This window comes from Homo sapiens, chromosome 3 (assembly GCF_000001405.40).
Source record: "Homo sapiens chromosome 3, GRCh38.p14 Primary Assembly".
In the NCBI taxonomy this organism is placed as follows: Eukaryota; Metazoa; Chordata; class Mammalia; order Primates; family Hominidae; genus Homo; species Homo sapiens.
Window position 1 is genome coordinate 123,925,391 of NC_000003.12, and position 22,266 is coordinate 123,947,656.

Below are 22,266 nucleotides of genomic sequence, written 5' to 3' on the forward strand. Positions count from 1 at the left end.
GTTACATAGAAGGAATAAGTTTGTGGGTTCTATTGAACAGTAGGGTGACTATACTTTTTTTTTTAGATGGAGTTTTGTTCTGTTGCCCAAGCTGGAGTACAGTGGTGCAATCTCAGCTCATCGCAACCTCTGCCTCCTGGGTTCAAGTCATACTCCTGCCTCAGCCTTCCGAGTAGCTGGGATTACAGGCACCTGCTACCATGCCCAGGTAATTTTTGTATTTTTAGTAGAGACAGGGTTTTACCATGTTGGCCAGGCTGGTCTCAAACTCCTGACCTCAGGTGATCTGCCCACCTTGGCCTCCCAAAGTGTTAGGATTGCAGGCGGAAGCCACCACGTCCAGCCTAGGGTGATTATACTTAATAATAATCCAACATTGCTAAAAAAGTAAATTCCAAATGTCTCACTCCAAAATACAATAAGTGAGATGATGGACATTTAATTAGCTTGATTTAGTTATTTCACCTTGTTTACATATACCAAAACATCACTGTACCCCATAAATATAGTTAAAATGGTATTAATTTGTCAATTATGATATTAAAAGAAGCTAATGAGTTGTTACTACAACACAAAAATATGCTGGAGAAACATATCTTTGAAGGAATGCTGTAACGAATAATGACCCACTAATTAATTTGATCAGACTGCATACCGAAATTTTTATTTTTGTTTATTTTCAGTAAAGGAATACTTATATTGAAGTTTCTTTCCAGTTTTAAAAAAAATTACTGTTGCTATAGATAAAATCAGAGATAAAGAAAGGAAGGGACAATGACATTTAAAAAAGCTTAATTTCTGGAAATTAGTAGCAATTACTAATCTTCTGATGTATAAACAGAATATGACTCACCATTGTCTCTGAAATTAAAAATCTCTGTAAGAAATATGAAAACGTTAAAATTTTAAAGGAAGGAATATGAGCACCTAAACTGTGACAAGCGGATATATTGGTGTTTCTATTATACATAATTCAGCTAAAGACACTGATTTTTAATACTTAGAAAACTGGCACATTTTCATAACAAATGCAGGGTTCTTTCTAGGCTACTTACAAAAATATATTAATTTAAATAACTATGAGTACTTGTAAGAATGCTCTTTGAAACTATTCACTATTTACTTAAATAATGTTATATATTATTTAATTTATATATTTTTAAATATAAATATTATTTAAATTAATATTTAAAATATTATTTAAATTAATATTTAAAATATTAATTTTCCTCACATTTTAATGGTTTTATAACATGTTGTAGTAAGATCTGAAAAAAAAGTGACACAGGCACATTTAAAATCATTAAAGGTTGGAGAAGGAAAAGAAAGAGGGTTTGTGGTATTTCTTTAGACCTTGTACATGTACCTTTCAGTCCCATTACTCCTCCCCCAAAGTCTGAGAAAGGCATTCAGAAATTTTACAAAATCTCTTTTCGGAGATTATTTAAAACACACATACCAAAACCATATGCCTATCTGACTAAGGTGACTATGGGAAGAGTGAAGGAGTAGAAGAGCATGTAGATTTATCTGTACTGTCGGATGCTGGTGCTTTACACTCTAACGTCCAAAGTAAAATTAAAATGGTCACAGCAATCCACTTATAGTACTAGAGATGTTCCTAACCAATTGAATTGCATAGGGTGTCATCAAAGAAATTATAAATCAACAATGTGGATGAATTTAGATATAATTAAGCTCAGAGACTTTTTTGTTTTGTTTTAATGTAAAGAACAAAACAATGGCTGGGTGTGCTGGTAATCCCAGCACTTTGGGAGGCCAAGGTGGGAGAACTGCTTGAGCCTAGAAGTTCAAGACCAGCTGGGGCAACATGGCGAGACCTCGTCTCTACTAAAAGTAAAAAAAAAAAAAAAAAAATAGCTGGGCACAGTGGCATGTGCCTGTGGTCCCAGCTACTTGGGAGCCTGAAGTGGGAAGATTGCATGAGCCAGGGAGGTTGAGGCGGTACTGAGCTGTGATCGCACCACTGGACTCCAGCTTGGGTGACAGAGCGAGATTCTGCCTCAAAACAAAAAAAAGTATAAAACTGACATCAATGAACGTACTTAGAATTTTGAAGCTGTTTCTAAATCTTTAGAAAATGTAGGGATAGTGCTAAACTCTACATGAGATACTGTGCTAAGCCTTCCCATCATGTTTTTACAATCATTCATAAGAGTGCAGTCAATCTGACAGGTGAGCTAGTAGTCATGAGGCAGGATTTATGCCCAGCATAAAAACGTGCTTAACAAAAATGTAAAAAACTGATAGGAAAATTCTTTAGTCTTACGAAAAGGAGAGCAAAAGTCTGTATCTAATATTCTAGACAGGGCCTTTTATAAAGGCAAATAGCAAGAATTAATGAACTTTTTCAGTTCCTATACTTCTATGTTAGATAAATGTTAAGGAAAAAAAAAAGGCTCCAGTTACATTTTTTCATTCTGAATAAACAATGGAAAAGGCAGACTGCATGTTATTTTGAAAGAATGAGCAGGTACAAAAGTATCTCCTACACAGGTAGAAGAATCCCTCAATAATGGAGCATCTTTATTCAGAGAAAAGCTGTCCTCTTTAAAACAGAAAGCAAAGCTGAAGACAGAATCCAAAATCCTGGCTCTGGTCCTAGTTCAGACACTAGCTGTGAAAGTCAGGTAAGTCCCTTTTTTCTTTGGGCTTCCATTTCTACTAATTTCTAGAAAAGTTATACTGTTACTCTGAAAGATTTTTCTTATGTTTTTGTTACCAATTTTCTTAGTAAATGCATTGCATATGTTGAATAGTATTGTCAACATGTGCAATGCATTTACTTAAAAAAAGACGTATCTGGCCTGGCACGGTGGCTCACGCTGGTAATCCCAGCACTTTGGGAGGCTGAGGCTGGTGGATCATGAAGTCAGGAGATAGAGACCATCCTGGCTAACATGGTGAAACCCAGTCTCTACTAAAAAAAAAAAAAAAAAAAAAAAATAGCTGGGCGTGGTGGAGGGCACCTGTAGTCCCAGCTACTGGGGAGGCTGAGGCAGGAGAATGGCGTGAACACAGGAGGCGGAGCTTGCAGTGAGCCAAGATAGCGCCACTGCACTCCAGCCTGGGCGACAGAGTGAGACTATGTCTCAAAGAAAATAAATAAATAAATAAAAAAGATGTATCCCTACATATGTCAGTAAAGCACTAGAATAAGCTCTTCACTTGTCAATGTGGATATTTAGCAACTAAAAGTAATTAAATATTTTTATGTATGCTTCACACATATATATTTGGAACATAATACAAAATTAATGTTTGTTGAATAAACAAACGAATCCATCCATTCATCCGTCTACCTCCCAGGTAAAAAAATTATAACGTTTACTTAGGCTAAATCAGGCATGGAGTTGTCACCATGGCTAAAGCCACTCCATGTGCAAGAGGAACATCTGGCTAGAAATTAAAAGATGTGAGTTCTAGTCCCAGCTCTGTTATTAACATTCTACTAATACTTAATTTGCGTGGCCTCAGTTTGCCCATCTATGAAAATGCAGATACTAAAATCTTCCCTCCATAGATGAGGACAAATAAAATGACATAGGAAAGACAGAACTTTGAAAAAAATCAAAGTACTTTATAAATAAAAGATATCAGCTTGTGATTTCATACCCATAAAGAAGCTGAATTTAGCAGTATGACAAAAAAGATTGTGAGAAGGAAGGAAAACTACCAGAGAACTACATCCTCCGCTTCATCGGATTTTCTGCTTGGGGCTAAGAGTTGCCCCTTAGAATGAAGCAGATGCTCATAGTAACTCCTAAGCAAACTCTCATGGCACTTGACCATGCTGACTCACTATTTTTTTCTTTTCTTCCTTTTTCTTTACTAAACAGACTGTATACCATATATAACTTTTACAAAATAACAGTTTATTGAGATATTATTTTAATATATTTATTTATTATTTTTTTGAGACAGGGTCTTACTCTGTCGCCCACGTTGGAATGCAGTGGCATGATAGTGGCTCACCGCAGCTTCCACCTCCTGGGCTCCTCCCACTTCTGCCTCTCGAGTAGCTGGGACTACAGGCATGCACGACCACGCACAGCTAACTTTGGTATTTTTTGTAGAGACAGGGTTTTGCTGTGTTGCCCAGGCTGGTCTCGAGCTCCTGGGCCCAGGCGATCCACCCACCTCGGCCTCCCAAAGTGCTGGGGTTACAGGCATGAGGCCCTGCAACCAACATATAATTTACATACCACAAAATCTACTCCTTTTAAGTGCAAAATTTGGTGGTTATTAGTATATTCATAGAGTTGAGAACTGTCACCACTATCTAATTTCAGAACATCTGCATCACTCCTAAATGAAACTACCCATTAGCAGTCATTTCCCATTCTACACCCCTGGGTTCCTCCAGCCCCTGGCAACTACTAATCTACTTTGTGTCTCTGTGAATCTGCCTATTCTGGACATTTCGTATAAATGGAATCACACCATATGTGGCCTTTTGTTACTGGTTTCTCTTAGTATAAATACTTGACACTAACAAAATTCTCACCACAAAATTATTCCTTAGAAAAAAGGAAACATTCCTTGGGATACCTTACAAAGACTTCCATAAGAAGGGACATTCTATTACTTTATTTTGAATAAGACTGGTATAAGCCAATATTCAGAACCTCTGACTAGAACCTAATCAATTATAATTATATGATTACAAAAAATGTCTTGCTTTTGCCATTGTTAAATAAAAGTTTGAATGCAAATATCCTATGAAATATAAATGTGGAAAAAGGGCAATATTTCCATGTGAACAGATCATTAATTTCAAATACATTTATAAAACTAAATTAATAAATTAAATGTTATATATTACTGTTTCATTTGCTTCCCTACAAGTTTATCATTCAAAATGAGGGGGGAAGTTGAAAATTCAAAATCGATCTGTTCATTGGAAACACAAGGAAGATTATTTTATATTCAAGATTATTTTATATTTGGAACTTCTAGGATCATTCGAAGACAAAGTCAGATCTGCAGATCTTTAGGCCTCAGATAACTGACTTCTCGCCTAGAACTTTAAAAAGCAGTTGAGAATCCAATTCTTAGCAAATATCTCAAAAGAAAACTGAATTTTGTAAGTGAATATCATAGAAAAATTGAGTGAGGTAATTTTATTTTAGAAAAATACTGTTAGGGAATGAAGTGATCTCAAGGGGTACTGCCAACTCACTCATTTAACTGATGAAATAATGCTGAAAGAGGCTGACTTACCCAAGATCATATGGCATGAGGGCTTACCATGCTAAGTGCTTTTCATGAATGATTTCTTAGTTTCCCATGACAACTCTATTCATGTCCCTACTTTACAGCTGAGGTTTAGAGAAGTTAAATGGCTTGCTCAAAGTTACTCAGCTAATATGTGGCAGAGCTGGGATTCCAGTCAGATCTCTCTAGCTTCAGAACCAGAGGGCTCAATGGTGTTGCTATACAAGTCTTCAGCTTCTCATCAGGACCCCCTGCCCAGAATCACATGGTTTTAAAAAAACATTTCGCCAGGTTTGAAATTCCTAAACTAATTTAATTGGAACAGAAGAAAACATCATTAGAAATTAGCAAAAACATTGGCAAAATAAGAGAAAAAGATATGGGGGAGAAAACAGGTCTAACATTATTTTGAAGTTTATAAAAACATCTAAAAATAAAAAAGGCATGAGTTATTCAAAGGAAGTCAATTTTACCTGGTTAATTCTCTTAGTCGAGTCACCTCAGCATCACGCTGACGTAATGTTATCCCCAATATCTGGTTTTCCTTTTCAGCAGTTTCTAACTTAAACTGGGAGCTTTTCACATTGACTAGGGCTTCCTCCAATTCTAAAACAACAAAAGTTTCAGTTTCCTTATTCCTTTTAAAAGATGTGACCATAACTACTGTCTAAATACGTACCAATTTTTATTCTTGTTATCTCAATATCATATTGCTGTTTATTTTCAAGTATAGTTTGATCTTTGTCTTTAAATATACTACTAAATTTTTTGTTTTCATCTTTCTGATTTTCAATCACTTTTAACAGCTCTTCATTTTTACTCTGCAGTAATTCCTGGCTCTTTAGTGACTCCTCCAATTGATTTTGCAGTGACATATTCAATGACTGAAGAGAAAACACTGTTAAGACAAAATGGATCAAATAGTTGTTTCCCAAACCTAAAAAGTACAAACTTGGAAAATACCTGTTTCTTAAAAAAAAAAAAAAAAGGCCTGAAATTTATTGATTTTGTTTAACGATTAATTGCATGAGCAGTTCTACATAAATACTACATATATTTTTAAAAATGATTGGCAGAAGTCATACCTTTCTTTTCCAGTTGACATTTTAAGCATTAATTTTTTAAACCCTTTTAAAAGAAAGAATACATAATCCTTTTAAAAGAATAATACATGTACAAAGTTAAAAAATTCAAACACCACAGAATGTCAATGATTCTCAATGAAGAATCTCCCTTCCACTCCTCCTCTCTGTCCCCAGAGACAATCAGTATTAATTTTGGTATCTTTCGTGAAAACACTTTTACATATGGTATTAATTACACTACATACACACACATACTATACACAATTTCTAACTTTGCCTTTTTTTCCCATAAGACTGTTGTATACAAACACATAGATCTATCACGTTCTTTTTCATGGCGATAAAAGTATATGGCACCATTTGTTGAGCAAATACATGCTCAGCGAATGCTTCCTATGTGTGAGGTATTGTATTAGAATCTGAATATACAGAGATGAACAACACAGACGTGGCCCCTGTTCTCACAGAGCTGATAACAAACAAGTAATTATACACAGTAATGATCTCAAAGAAACAATAAGATAAATGATCAGATAATATAAATAAGAGAAGCTATTTAAAGTGGCAACTACTGATCTCCCCACTTGTCCTCTAGGCCTCCTCTCTCCTACCCTCTCCCTTTCCTCACCTTTGGTTAACAGTGGAGACACAGTGATAATTTCTGAATCACTCTGGTGAAACTGAACACTTTTATAAAGTGCTCATTCTGTTGGGCAATCATATTTTTTTCTTATTGATTTATAAGACATATTTATATATTAAGAAGATTAAGCCTTCATCATGTCATGTATTGTTTCTCCATTTTGCTTATGTTTTGAATGTATTTATAATTTTGCTATGTAGAAACTGAAAAAGTTTTCTGGGGACATATTTTATCAATCTGTTCCTCTGTGGCATTTGAGTCTTTGTCAGGCTTAGGAAAAGTTCCCCTCCAAAAAAATAAAAAAATAAAAATTCTTATATTTTCTTCTGGTACTATTATAGTTTCTTTATTAAGCTCTGTGATCATTAAGGACAATTTGGCAATATCTGTCACAATTGCAACTGTATATACCCTTTGGCTCAACAATTCTACTGCTATAAATCTATCCTACAAAAATGCTGGCCAGGCGTGGTGGCTCATTGTCTGTAATCCCACACCTTGGGAGGCCGAGGTGAGTGGATCACTTGAGGTCAGGAGTTCAAGACCAGCCTGGCCAACATGATGAAACCCTGTCTCTAATAAAAATACAAAAATTAGACAGGCGTGGTGGCAGGCGCCTATAATCCCAGACACTTGAGAGGCTGAGGGAAGAGAATCACTTGAACCTTGGAGGCAGAGGTTGCAGTGAGACACGATCGCACCACTGCACTCCAGCCTGGGCCACAGAGTGACGCCGTCTCAAAACAAACAAACAAACAAACAAACAAACAAACAAAGCTGACATATATGCACAAAGACATATACAAAGATTTTCACTGCAATGTTGTTTGCACTGGGAAAAAAGGGGAAAGTACTATTAGCAAAGGACCATATTATGGTAGACCTGGATAAGCAGAATACCCAAGTAATTCTTAAAGAGAAAGATGCATAATTATGTATTTTGATAGACAAAAGTGTCCATTATATGTTAAGTGAATAAACAGAAGCTGTGGAAAAGTATGTACAGTGTGATCTCATTTTTAAAAAAGTACATATATAGTTCTATTTGTGCCTGGCACACAGTAGGTATTCAGTAAGTGTTAAATAAATCAATTATATATGAAGAGAAGATATGTAAAAGGAAACACACTCCTGTATTTCAAAACAAACAAACAAAAAAAGGTGTATATTATTGGGAAGTGACAGCATCTTTTATTTTCTTATGTTTCTACAATATTTTAAATTTATCCCCTCAAAGTAATTACAAAAGCTCAATTCTTTATCAACATTTCCGGAGCCACAAATAATTTATCAATCCTTAAAGTTCTTTTACCTACATTCAAGGTTGCAATCCACAGCACCAGATGGTTTTTGAGTTTTCTGTTGTTCTCTGAGTTGCTGGTTCAAAATTCTCAACTGCCTAAAGAAATAATGAAGAACTATGAATGCAAGCATACCAAGCCAATTTAATAGTATACATGTGATAGCCTATCAAAAAAGATAAAACATAAACCCACTAAGACAGCAGAAGTCCATCTCATCCCCAAAAGACAAAAACTAAATAAACAAAACAAAAACAAAACCATACTACTATTATTATGAGGCCTGAGATAATTTTTAAGGTTGCCTGAAACAACATAAAACCTCCCCTCATGGGCCAGGCGCGGTGGCTCACGCCTGTAATCCCAGCACTTTGGGAGGTCGAGGTGGGCGGATCACCTGAGGTCAGGAGTTTGAGACTAGCCTGGCCAACATGGCGAAACCCCATCTCTACTAAAAATACAAAAATTAGCTGGGCGTAGTGGCGCGTGCCTGTAATCCCAGCTACTTGGGAGGCTGAGGCAGGAGAATTGCTTGAACCTGGGAGGTGGAGGTTGCAGTGAGTGAGATCGCACCACTGCATTCCAGCCTGGCGAAAGAGTGAGACTCTGCCTCAAAAAAAAAAAAAAAAAAAAAAAAACCCTCATGAGGAAAGTGTTAATTTCTCTTTTTTGTCTCTTCAGTGATTTGTTGTTTTTTTTCTATTTCTTTCCTTTTCTATCTGCTCATGCTGTTTCTCATCGTCTTTCTGTGTATCTTCATCACTGTAGTTAATCATCTACTTTTTAAAAGATTTGTCATTACTATCAACTAGAATACCTACAAGCACTGACTGCTATCAGACATCTATCTGCCTGATGTTTGTCATATGCTGAAACACAAATCTATGCTTCTAATAATTTTATTAGATGGAAAAGTTAATGGTCTTAAGTAACGAGAATATTAACAGGCTACAAATCTGCCCTGTTACAATGAACTTCACAATATGTATCTGCTTCACAAATAGAAACATATGCAAGTGTTTTCTTTACTTCTAAGAAGTTATCGCTTATGGGGACAAAAGTTACCTCTATTATCTTTCCAGAATTACTTACCTAAAAATATTTTGCCTTAAAATATTTATTTTTGGTACTAACTCTAAAATGATAGTACCCTACCTCACATCACTCACATATATTAATTTCGAGTTGATTAAAGTGATAAAATATGTAAACAAAACCCAACTATACAAGTTTTAGGGGGAAATCTACATAATCTTGAAGTCGGGAAGGCATTTCTAAGTGAAACTCAATATCCAGCAAGCATCAAGGAAAAGAACGAAAGATTTAACCATAGCAAAATTTGAAACCTGTAGAATTAAAAGCCTGAAAGAAAATACCTGCACATATGTTATAGACAAGGGGTCCATAACATTTAAAGAACTCCTACAAATCAGTAAGGAAGGCAACCTAGTAAAAAGTGACAAAGGATAAGAATGAGCAGTTCACCTAAGAAATAGAAATGGCCTATAAGCATATGATAAAAATGCTCATCTTCACTAACATGAAGAATTGCAAATTTAAAAGAAGGTACTTTTTGGCCATAGAATTGACAAAAATAAAAAGAAATAACATTTTCTGATGATAGTACAGGAAATGAATTAACTCAATTCATGTGATTATATCAGTATAACCATTCTGGATGGCAGTTTGAAATGTCCAACAAAATGTAAAATGTTCATAATCTCTGACAAAATTATTCTACTTCTAGGTTATCAAGCATCAGAAACAGTTTTACATGTGCAAAAGCATCTCCCACCTTGTAGATACATACAAGGATGTTCACAACAGCAATTATTTAATAGTGCCAAGTTGGAAACAACTTAAAATGCTACATAAATTATGGTACATCCATATATGAAATACTAATACACAGATAATAAAAAAAGCGAGAGGTCCACTTGTACTGACGTGAAAAGATCTCTGAGACACATTATGAAGTGAAAGCAGCAAGCTGCAGAACAACAGTATAATGTGAGCTTATTTTTGTTTTAATAAAATTCTGATTTTCTTTAAAGGTTTCCCCTTTACAACAGAAGCTTTCCTCGATAATCCTTTTGTATGTCCCTGGTCAGATTCTTCTCTTCCCAAACGTAACCAATCTAAACTTCTAATAATTCACTGCAAGCCTCTCATTCCTACCCTCCTCTTCTCAATTGTATACTTTCCTTTTTTCACTAAAAATAATGTGGTTTGGGGACAAACACAGTCATCCTTTGGTCCCAGGGTGTATCCATATGTGTATTAGCCCTCATTTTTTCCATCTAGTCTGATGAGTAGCCTTATCTGTGCCCTGGATCCCATTCTCCTCCTAGACCATCAAGGACTCTGCTCCTATCCCACTCCCTTTATCTTCTGTATCTGCAGTTTCTCCCTCTTTGCCAGTTCATGTGCCTAAGCCAAGAAACATATTAAAACTCTTCCCATATTTTAAAAAAATTCCCTCCAACCTAACTGTACAAGTAGCTACTTTCATTCCTCTCATTCCCTGCTTTCAGGGCTAGGCTTTTAAAAAAATATTCTATTTAAAATGATACATGATAAAAACAGAAAAAAGGATATTTTAAAAATTGATGTTACACATGCTATTTTAAGATATGTACGAAATTTAAATATACTGGATTTTAAAAAAGGAAAAGAACTGCTGCTACTTAGGCAAATATTTCTTTTATTCAAGTCATTCTTTTTTTTTTAGACAGCTTGAGATAAAACTGACATACTATAAACTACATAAATTTAAAGTGTGTCATTTTATTTTCTGCCATATGATGTAGTAAAACCACCATCACAATTAAGATATCCATCAGCAGCCATAAAAAAGAATGAGATCATGTTTTTTTGCAAGAACATGAAGGGAACTGGAGGCTATCATCCTTAGTAAACTAACGCAGAAACAAAAGCAAATACCACATTCTCACTTATAAGTGGGAGCTAAATGATAAGAACTTATTAACACAAAGAAGGAAACAACAGACACTGGGGTCTGGATGGTAGGAGGGAGGGGAAGGTGGTAGGAGGGAGAAAAGCAGAAAAGATAACTATTGTGTACTGGGCTTAATACCTGGGTGATGTAATAACATGTATAACAAACCTCCTGTGACACGTGTTTACCTATGTAACAAACCTTCACGTGTACCCTCAAAGCTAAAAATTTTTCAAAAAACATATTCATCACCCCTAAAGTTTCCTCATAGCCCTTTTCATAACTCTCTCCTCCCAGATAAGCACTTATTTATAGTTTGCATATTCTAGAATTTTATATAAATGGAATTATGGAATATATACTCTTTTAGCCTGGCTTCACTCAACATAGTAATTTTGGGATTCATCCATGCTGTTGCATGTATCAATAGTTCTTACCCTTTTATTGTTGAGTAGTATTCTACTGTATGGATATAGCACTATTTGTTTATCCATTCACCTATTGATAGACATTTGGGTTGTTTCCTATGAACACTCATCAACAAGTTTCTGTGTGGACACATGCTTTGGCTTCTCTTAAATATCTAGGAGTGGACTGGCTGGATCATATGTTAGATATATGTTTAATTTCTAAGAAACTGCCAAACTTTTTTTCCAAAGTGTTCAAATTATTTTACATTCCCATCAGTTAATTGTGAAATCCTTCACATCCCAACATTTATTAATTTTGAATTTTAGCCATTCTAATGGGTATGCAGTGGTATTTTGTCATGGTTTTAATTTTCACTTTCCTAATCATTACTGATAAGCATCTTTCTATATTCTTATTTGATATTCATATTTGATATCCACTTATTTGGTGAAGTGTCTGTTCAAATATTTTGCCCATTTTTCAACTTGATATTTAAAAATTTATACTGTCTTAAGTTCTTTATACATTCTAATACAAGTCCTTTATCGGGTACATGTTTTACAAATATTTTCTCTCAGTCTGTTGGTTGCTTCTTCATTTTTAATAAGTGTTTTTTGAAGAACTGAAGTTTTAAATTTTGATGAAGTCCACTTTACTCATTTTTTTCTAGTTTATATTTTTTGTGTTGTATTTTTAAAATCTTTCCCAATCCAAAATCCCTAAGATTTTCTCTTACGTTTCCTTTCAGAGGTTTTGTAGTTTTAGTTTATACATTAAGATCTGTGATTCATTTCAAGTCAATTTTGTATACTGTATGAGGTAAAGGTTGAGGTTCATTTTTTAAAAACATGACTCTCTCATTGTTTCAGCACTATTTATTGAAAAGAGTATTCTTTCCCCACTGAATTTCTCTGATATCTTTGCAAAACACTATCTCTATGTGTGAATTTGTTTCTAGACTCTATTCTGTTTCAGTGATCTATTTGTCACCTTTACACCACACCTCTTAGAATACTATTCCTTTATGTTTTGAAATTGAATAGTACCAACTTGGTTTTCCTTTCTCAATACTGTTTTGGGTACTTTAGAGTCTTCAAATTTCCATGTAAACTTTAGAATCAGCTTCAATTAAATATTTTTAAAAAGCATGCTTGGGTTTTTACTTTAATTACATAAAATCTATACATCAATTTGGGGAGAAGTGATATCTTAAGTCTTACATTTATGGATCTGGTTTATCTCTCACTTATACTGATCTTTAATTTCTCTCAGCAATATTTTGTAGTTTTCAGTGTATGGGTCTTACATATTTTTCAAATTTATCCCTAAATTGTTCATATTTTTTTGATGCTACTCTAGTACTGATTTTAAATTTAATTTCAAATTGTTCATTGCTGGCACATAAAAATACAATTGATCTTGTATCCTGCAACCTTGCTAAGCTTTCTTATTAACTCTAGCAGCATTTTTGTAGATTCCATAGGATCTTCTACAAGAGTTATCATGTCATCTGTGAACAAAACAGTTTTACTTCTTTCCTTTCCAATGTGGCTGGCTTTTATTTCTTCTTGCCTTACTGCACTTGTTAGAACGTCTAGCACATTGTTAAACAGAAATAACTATCATTATTTGCTGGATAACATTCATACATTCTCCAGCATATGCAGAGACAAAAAAACAAATATCTAAGAAGAATTTTAAAATAATGGGATAATATTACAAAAACTATTTTAAAATATTATGCATTGAATTTAGGATTACATGATTTTAATGGAAAGAAATTAACAAGTGAAACCAAAACTGATTAGGCAAATATTTCTTTACTTCAAGAAATATTATTCCTAAGTAATCTAAAATTTAGGAAATAGGATATGAAAAATGCAGAGTTTGGAATTCATATTGTCAAGATTACTAACACATTCTGATCTATAACCATAATTTCCACGGTTGTCTTAGTTTTATGTATAGATTCAATGTTCACATCTGTCTACTCTTTTGTTTGAATTCACCTTTTGGTTGACTGGACTTTGCCATTCAAGTTTTTTGTTTTGTTTTTTAAAGGAGTTCAAGGGTGTTAAACTTCCTAAGTTCTTGCACACTTGAGAATATGACTGTTGCCTTTGCACTAAAAGGACAGCTAGACCACATTAGAGATTCTCGGGGCATACTTTCTTTCCCTCAGAACTTTGTAAATGATATTCTATGATCCCCTGGCAACGAAAATCACCGTGGAAAGGCTGGAGATAGCCTAAAATTTTTCTCTTCATACATAATTTTCTATTTCTTTTGAGTGCCTCCAAAAATTAACTTTTTTCATCCTTAGGGTGTAGTAACTTAACCAGCATATGTGTTGGTGTTGATTGTTTTGCATGGTTTTTCTGAGATCTTCTATGTCCTATTCATCTGCTGACACAGATCTTTTTTTTTTTTTTTTTTAGAGATAGGGTCTTGCTCTGTTTCCCAGGCTAGAATAAAGTGGTACAACCAGAAAATTTTCCCTTTTATTTATAAATATCTTAATATTGTCTTTAATCCATTTGTTCTGTTCTCTTTTTTCAGGAACACTAATTTATATCTATTTTCTTTTTCATATGTATTATCTTCTTCATAATAATTTTTAGATCATTCTTTTTCTATTTTGCCTTGTGTGATTCCCTCAAGCTTATCTACCATGCATTCAGTCAATTTAACAAATATTTGTTAGAGTGAGTGTTAGGCACAATTCCTAGCACTAGAAATATAGTTGCAAACTATAAAGCGACAAAATTTCAGCCTTCTCAAATTCAGAGACAAAAACAACAAAAAACAAGAACTTACGAGGAAGTAAGAAAAGGAAGAAGAGAAAGTTACTGTTTAATGGGTACAGAGTTCATGTTGGGGATGAAAAAGTTTTGGCACAGATAGTGGTAATGGCTACAGAACATTGTGAATTTATTTATTGCCACTGAAATGTACACTTACAAATGGTTAAAAATAAAAAGGTAAATATTATATATATTTTACCATAATAAAAATAAAAATTTTTTAAAGGGTTTAGGAAGAGGAAGAAGCTAAGGGTAGTAGGAGACACTGAACTATGAATTTAGTAGCAATTAAAACAGAAAGACTTAGGGAAAAAAACCTAAAAGCCCAAAAAACAACAAAACAAAAAACTTCAGGCTTCACAATACTTAAGTTCTAGTGGACTACAATATCCCTGAGTTTGTCTGTTTATTAATGATTTTACATTTGTTTCTTTCATTTTTGTAATTTTTTTGCTTTATTTTTCTGAGTTCACTTAACTCACTTTTCTTCTCTTTTTCTTTTTCTTCTTTGAGCACTTTGTCTCAATCTCAGTCTTTCTCCCTGTAAGAGATCCTACTATCTTTAATTTCCTTGAGACTATGGAATACTGTTTTAAGTTTTTCTGAAGTTCTTTGAGTAATTTGTCTTGTGATATTTATTCTGGACCTACCTTTGTTCTTGTTGTCTGTTTATTTTAATGCTATGCAAAATCTCTCCTATAAATTGTTTTCTTCCTGTGACTTTTGTGATGTCACTCTCCTAATTTTAATCTTCTGTTCTTTCCTTAAAAAGTTGTTACTCCCCAGCAATTCACCTTTCACTGCATTCACACACTCTACCTTCTTGGTGAATATACCACTTACTTATATGCTGGTAACAGATCACTTACTTTCAATCAGATTGTCTCCAGTGTCTACAACAGTGCCAGATCTATACAAAAAGCTCAATAAAAACATGTTCAGAGAATAATTCCCGAGTCTACATTTCCATCTTTCATCTTGTTCCTGTACTCCAGACAGTCTAACTCAGCAGGTCTAAATCTTAACTCACAGGCTCTCCTATTACCTTGCCTAACTCAAAAAACATTAACAGTATGAAATAAAACAAATCTATTCTTCCTCTAGTAGCTCCCATCTGGAAGAATTATGCTAACATTTGTTAAATTATGAAGACAGAACCTGAACATCATCCTTGACTCCTTCCATTCACTCCCGTTTCATTTTTATGTTCTGTGTGGCTACATAATGGTCTCATAGTTGAGTTTAATATCAGGAGGTGGTCATGAATTCTTGGCACTCTCTAGCTCAATGGCTCTTAACTGGAGGTAATACCCACCAAACTCCCATCCAGGAAATTTGGAAATGTGCCAGGCCTTCTGGTGGTCAAAATTAATGGGGCACCACAGACATTTAGTGGTTGGGGACCAGGAAGGCTAAATGCTGAATAACTATATCAGAAGACACATTAAAAACTGTCTAGCCTAAATGCCAAAAATGCCAAAATATCATAGAAACGATGCATCTAGCTATTTTTTAAGCCACAAGATGGCAATAAACTCCAAGAAAGTCCTGAAAGATGTGGTTAAAAAGAAACATGTAGTTTCCAAATATCTAAACAGGAAAAAAAAAATACTTCTTTAAAAATTGAAAATGATGAGAAACACTTTCGAATGAACCAATGTATTCCAATTTTTATTTGTAATGGAGATAATGGGTAATTCTTTCCAAATAGATTACCAAAGTGGCACAAACTTTCCTACACTACTGCCAGAAACCTCATTCTGCTAAAAAGAACATATCTAATAAATTCTTCATTTTTTAGTTATTTCATCTTTTAGAAGGTCAAGTAAACAACAGTGGCAATAGCATGCTATATAATCTTTGTCCTGTAAAGACAGCCAGCCAAATAGCTCTGGTGCCAGTTGAAGAATTAGGTCAGACATCAAACAAATACCTTTTAAAAAAACTAGAAACAAGTGGTGGCCCATAAAATAGTAAACTTCATTTTCTTGAGTGGCTTATGAATTAGCTCCTAAGGCAATTTAAAAATGTTCTAAGGAACCGAAATAAATAAGAACCACTAATATTTTCCATGGTGACAATGTTAAAATACAATATTCTCAGACTAAGTTTTGGTATCCTTATTTAAGGAACCAATTATTTGATTGTCATTCCTTTAAATAATATGCTTGTTTACTTTGAATGGCTTACAATACATTCTATGTTCCACAAAATACACCTAAATAGTGAGGTATAATTAAATCTCTACTTCCTAACCGAGACAGTGTAAAAGTCTACAAGTTAAGATCACTGTACTCTAAAACCAAATTGCCTGGGTTCGAGTCTTGACTCTTAACTTCTTAGATATATAACCTTGGGCAAGTTACATAAACTCTTTGTGCCTTCATTTCCTCATCTGTAAATGCGAGTAAATAGCACCTATTTCACAAAGCTGTTGTGAAGATATAAAGAGGTGACACATATCGAGGACAATAGTCTGGCATATATAAAACATTCAATAAATGTTAGCAGTATTTGCTGTTCATTATTTTATTATTTACTCACTTTTGGTTTTAAAAATTTATGCTGGTAATAGGAATTCCTTAGGTCAAGACTAAAGATGATATTAGATCTTAAACCCAGCAACCCCATCTTATATCGTAGTAGCTACAGGATAATGACCTCTAGACAAAGAATCCTAAATGAGTGCATCTCACTAGCTATCATGCCTCTACAGGCTCCAGATACGTATATTTTAGCTATGCTCCAACTATTTAATTGCTTTCCAGTTTCTTTAAAAATTTGTGTAGATCCTTGCAGGTCATATCTTACACAATGTCTATAACTTATGCAGCTGTAACACTCTCTCAGGGCACATTCGCATTGCAGTGCTGCAGAAGCACCTGATATGTACTCCAATATTTTGCAAAGTGTATTAATAAATAGACACTGAAGTGTTGGCCTTGATGGTCATCACTGAAACATTCAAAGTTAAGATATTATTGCTAATATGTGGGTGATTCCTTTTATATTTCAAGATTAGATCCCTGTTCTACATCTTTCCTAAACAAATTAAGAATGTAATTCCAACAAGTTAAGATGACCAAAAGAAAAAATATCAAAGAATTTTACTTTTTTCTATGTCTAAGTGTGGTGGGGCTACACGAGTGCTTACTAAGGTTCTCCTTTCCTTCCTGGGTGTATAGAAGTAAGTATATATCTGTGACATTATTTTATATATTTTTATATATACATATTGTATATAAATGTGTGTGGTGTGTGTGTATGTTTATTACTGCATATACATACATACACATATATATACGTATATATACACATACATATATATATATGTTTTCATTCACAGTTCCTGGCTGTCAACACCCACAGCCCTTGTTATTTGTTAAGCAGTCAAAACCAAAAACATACCTTTTATTAAAATATTTGGCCTTTTGTCCCTGGTTCCTGAAGCAGCTTCAGACCAGCTTCAGTGATAAAGGTGAAAGACAGTCGTTTGTTAATATTCAGGTACTTTAGGCCTCAGAAGCAGGCCTCAGAAAACAGAATCTCTCTCTCTAACCTTCTCTTGCCATCCTTTCACCTGCTCCTTTTTCCTCCCCATTGTAGGCCATAGGAACTAAAAATATACTCTAATCTTCTCCCACCTTTCTTACAGCTGGCCATAAGGAAATTCTCTGACCTACCTTGTCTGTTTGTAGGTCATAAGAACCCCATTTCTGAAGGAGACCTGCCTCATACTGAGGAGAAAGGAATGCTCCCCAGAGAGGTCAAACAGAATTTGAACAGACAGAACTTCTTGGGTTTCCCCACTCTGTCTATTAGATCATACCCTTTTTGTCAAATCACATTTCTTCACAGCTGACCATGATTCAACCATGACTATCCAATGAAGCCTCCATAAAAGGCCCAAGAGGACAGGGTATGGAGAGCTTCCAGATAAACACATGGAGCTTTCTAGAGGGTGGTGCACCCACCGAGGGCATAGAAGCTCCATGCCCTTTCTCCAATACCTTGCCCTCTGCATCTCTTCATCTGTATCCTTTATAATATCCTTTATAATAAAGTGGTAAACTAAGTGTTTCCGTGAGTTCTGTGAGCCGCTCTAGCAAATTAACTGAGCCCAAAGAAGGAGGTCAAGGGAACTTCGATTTATAGCCAATCAGTCAGAAACACAGGCAAAATAACCTGGGGCTTGTGATTGGCATTGGAAGTAGAGCTCAGTCTTGTGGAACTGAGCTCTCAACCTGTGGGATCTGATACCATTTCCAGGTAGATAGTGTTGGAATTGAACTGGAGGACACCCAACTGGTGTCTGTTGCAGAACTGATTGTTTGCTTGCTGGTGGGGAGAAATCCCTACACATTTGGTCATATAAGTGTTCTGTGTCGATTGCTGTGGTGTGAGAGCAGAAGAAAAACAGTTTGCTTTTAACATAATGTCCCAGACCTTTCTATTAGGCAGGGCCATGTGCCTTGTTTCAGCCTATAAAATATAAGTGGTAGCGAAACGATCACTTCTGGGTTGAGCCATGTAAGACTCCCCCATTACCACATCCACATTCTCTTTTTCCTAGACAACACATACTGAGACAGTGGCTTCATAAAATGGAGGCAGTCTGGATCCTGAGTCACATGATGAAAGAGCCACCAATGATCCATGTTAGTCTTGGCATGAGGGAGAAAGAAACTTGCTGTGCTATGCAAATGAGATTTAGAAGTTCGTTTCTGCAGCATAACTTAGACTAGTCTGATAAATATACAGAGGTACTTCATTTTTCTGCCTACACACTACCAAGTGACAACAGGGGTAAAATAAGTGGGAGAAAATACATACAAGTGGGCAGAAGGAAGAGTTAGAGAATGCTGGAAATCTCTGAAAAATGAGGAAGAAAAGTAGAAATACAGTAAGACAGCAAATAAATTTTACTTATGAAGTCCTAGGTATGTCATTTGCACCTTTGTTCTGGCCAGGAGACATCTTTGCATACAGACAAAAATATTCAAAGAGCAATTCTTACCTTCGTAACTGAGCATTCTCACTTCTTAATGGTTGCATGGCCAGTGCTATCTCAACTTGAATATCTGTGTTTCCACTTACTGTTGGAAGTACAGATATACATGCCTCCATTTCTGTAATCAACCTCTGAATTTCTGAATCCTCTATAGAAGGCAACAGAAATGAGTAAAATCAATATTATATTTTTGGACAAGATTATTAGTATGTATTACTAAAAAAGAAAATCTTTATAGATATGTACATTCTTGTTATAAATTCAACTCAATTATTTATAAATTTATTATACAGGTTCCATTTTTCTCTTTCATGCTGCTGGTATTTGTTTCCTCAGAATTCTAAAGAAATTAAGTTCAGTAAACTAAAGATTAATCTTAAATCACAGGATTATTACATAAGTGATTTTTTTTTTTTCAGTTCAAGAGTCAAGTAGGAATGTGGCTTACACAAAACTCTTAGTCCATAGTTACAAAGGACCACAGTGGACTCCTATGATTGCTATAGGGTTTCCTATAACTGGTTATAGTATTAACATTTATAATACAACCTTTGATCCTGGCATAAGCAAACAATTTACTTTAGGGGGTTAATATGGCAAAATATTGAGTGAGGGTCTGCTAAGATAGTTTCATTACTTAATTTTCTAAAGTAGATTGAACACAAGCAGCCACATCTCATTTGATGTGACATCAAAAGTTTGTTAATAATTGTGGACAGTAGATGTTTTTGGAGATTGCAAACAGACACAGGCATAGAAGGTAGATATTAATTCTTTTGCCTTTTATCTTTGTCCCCTCATTCCCATTCATATTTACTACGGGCTGAAAGTACTTAAAATTATTTATTAATCATCTGATAACCTAGAAGTTGAAAGTGTATTCTAAGTTACAAAAATGTATTCAGTTTCACAGATATTTTAACATCCTCATGAAAAGTATATGTACACAGTAAACAACTGTGTTCAATGATCAAGCAGTCTTCTACCAATCTTTATTTATTTATTTATTTTGAGACGGAGTCTCAGTTTCCTCATCAGTAAAATGGGAGTGGTAACAGTACCACATAGGGCTGCTGGGAGGATTAAATGAGATAATGCATATAAAACACTTAGCACTGTGCTGGACACATGGTAAGTGTTCAATAAATGACAGCTAATGGTATTATTATTATTACCATGATTATGTATCTGACTGTGAAAATGGTAATAAGTTGAAGGTCTGAAAACAGAGCAATTTTAATATACTAAATCTTTGGTCTAATGGTGCTACATTTATATAGCATTTTAAGATTTTTTTTTTTTTTGGTCTGCAAACGTTAGGTATTCAATCAATGCTTCCAAAATCAATTACTGTGTTTCCAAGATGACAAAACTGTAACTCATTTCAAGCAAAAGCCATTACTATAGAATACATATACAGAATGGAAACAAATGAATAGAATCTGGCTCAGAAACACCTTGATTTAAGAAAAAAAGTCCTAAAAATACACTGAAAAGGGCATAAGAAGGTATGCGTTACTTCTCAAAGTGAGATTTGTTAAACAATCTAACAGTTGGCTATTAAAGAAGTGACAGGAAAGAATTCTCTGCATCTTTTTAAAACAGGAAGAATAATCAGTCTACTCAGGGAGTTAATCATTTATAGGCATTCTCTAATTAAAATTTTTATCTGTCCAAATTCTCTTTGGTTGACTCTTTTCAAGGTCTATTATCAAGCAGAATAAATACACACTTGCAAGCAAAAGACTGAATGTTTGACATTCTCAAACGCATTTTAAATCCACAGGAAAGAAGGGATCAAAACTTAAAAAATAATACAATAAGTAGAACTCATTTTCTTATTAGCTCAAAACACAGTTCTATGGAAAATACCACAAACTCCATTTAAATGATAGCTAAATAACATGACATTGCTATTTAGTATAACACCATACTACAGAAAGTTATAAGTCCCATCTACCTTGTTCTGCTACCAGGGCCTTGAGCTCTCCCAACAAATATTTTATAATTCTAACTTTTTCAGCTGTCTTGTTCACATTTTTTGCCTTCTGTACATCCTTCACTGTTTTTGTATCTCGCACATGTATGTTTAAATCCTTTCTTTCACTTGTGGCCTCTCTAATTTGCTCTCTGGCACATTTTTCTTCATTAGTGGCCAAGAAAGCTGGTTGTGACTGAGTAGGGCTTCGGTGTGTCTGACTGTCCAGATGCGTTTCTTTTCCATGAGATCGAAAAAGAGACAAATATGTTTGAATACATTTTAGTAGGTCTGTTTCCTTATGAATTCCTTGTTGTGGCAGAATTCCATTAACAAGGCCCAGTTGCTGCAATGTTGGAATAGCTGATATGTCAGTTTTGGGCAGGCTACATGGAACTCCAGGACTGGTATTAAATGAATTCCGTAGAACATCAGTACAGGTTGCAGAAACTGTTTTACCTTGTGATGCAAACTGACTGTTGCCATCAGTTTGAACTTCCTAAAGAAAGATAAAAACAAGTCTTCAGAAGTATGAGCACTCATTTGTAGGTATTAATTACAACAAACTCAAATATATGAAATATATTTATTAAAACATGTTTATTAATATATTCATTTTGTGAATATTTAATAAGTAGTTACCACTATATTTTGAGGATATACTATAGTCTGTGTAACTACTCCCATACAGTTAGACATTTAAGTAACAGCCAGTTTTTCACTGCTGAAACATTTCTGTAAATATGTTTGTGCAAAAACTTTTTGTATGTTTAAACTTATTTTCTTATGATGTAATTTCCCAAAGTGGACTAATTTTTGATGCTTTTAAACCATCT

General features: G+C 34.6%; 1 protein-coding gene across 29 annotated transcripts in view; it reads right to left on the reverse strand.

The window, feature by feature from the left end:
• The window catches only part of CCDC14 (coiled-coil domain containing 14), a 76,054-nt gene that overhangs the window by 40,215 nt on the left and 13,573 nt on the right, over positions 1 to 22,266 (reverse strand). For 23 of the 29 annotated variants that reach the window (XR_007095720.1, XM_011513081.3, XM_047448748.1 and 20 more), the window contains 5 exons: positions 21,413 to 21,929; positions 19,459 to 19,600; positions 8,283 to 8,365; positions 5,918 to 6,136; positions 5,712 to 5,844 (listed from right to left, as the gene is read on the reverse strand). Coding sequence is in view for 28 of the 29 variants with exons in the window: in XM_011513081.3 (XP_011511383.2) it covers positions 5,712 to 5,844; positions 5,918 to 6,136; positions 8,283 to 8,365; positions 19,459 to 19,600; positions 21,413 to 21,929 (1,094 nt within the window). In the remaining variant the exon portion in view is untranslated. Of the gene's footprint in view, positions 1 to 5,711; positions 5,845 to 5,917; positions 6,137 to 8,282; positions 8,366 to 19,458; positions 19,601 to 21,412; positions 21,930 to 22,266 lie in introns of those variants that run through there. The other 6 variants (XM_047448739.1, XM_006713733.4, XM_005247711.5 and 3 more) reach the window with 3 other exon arrangements.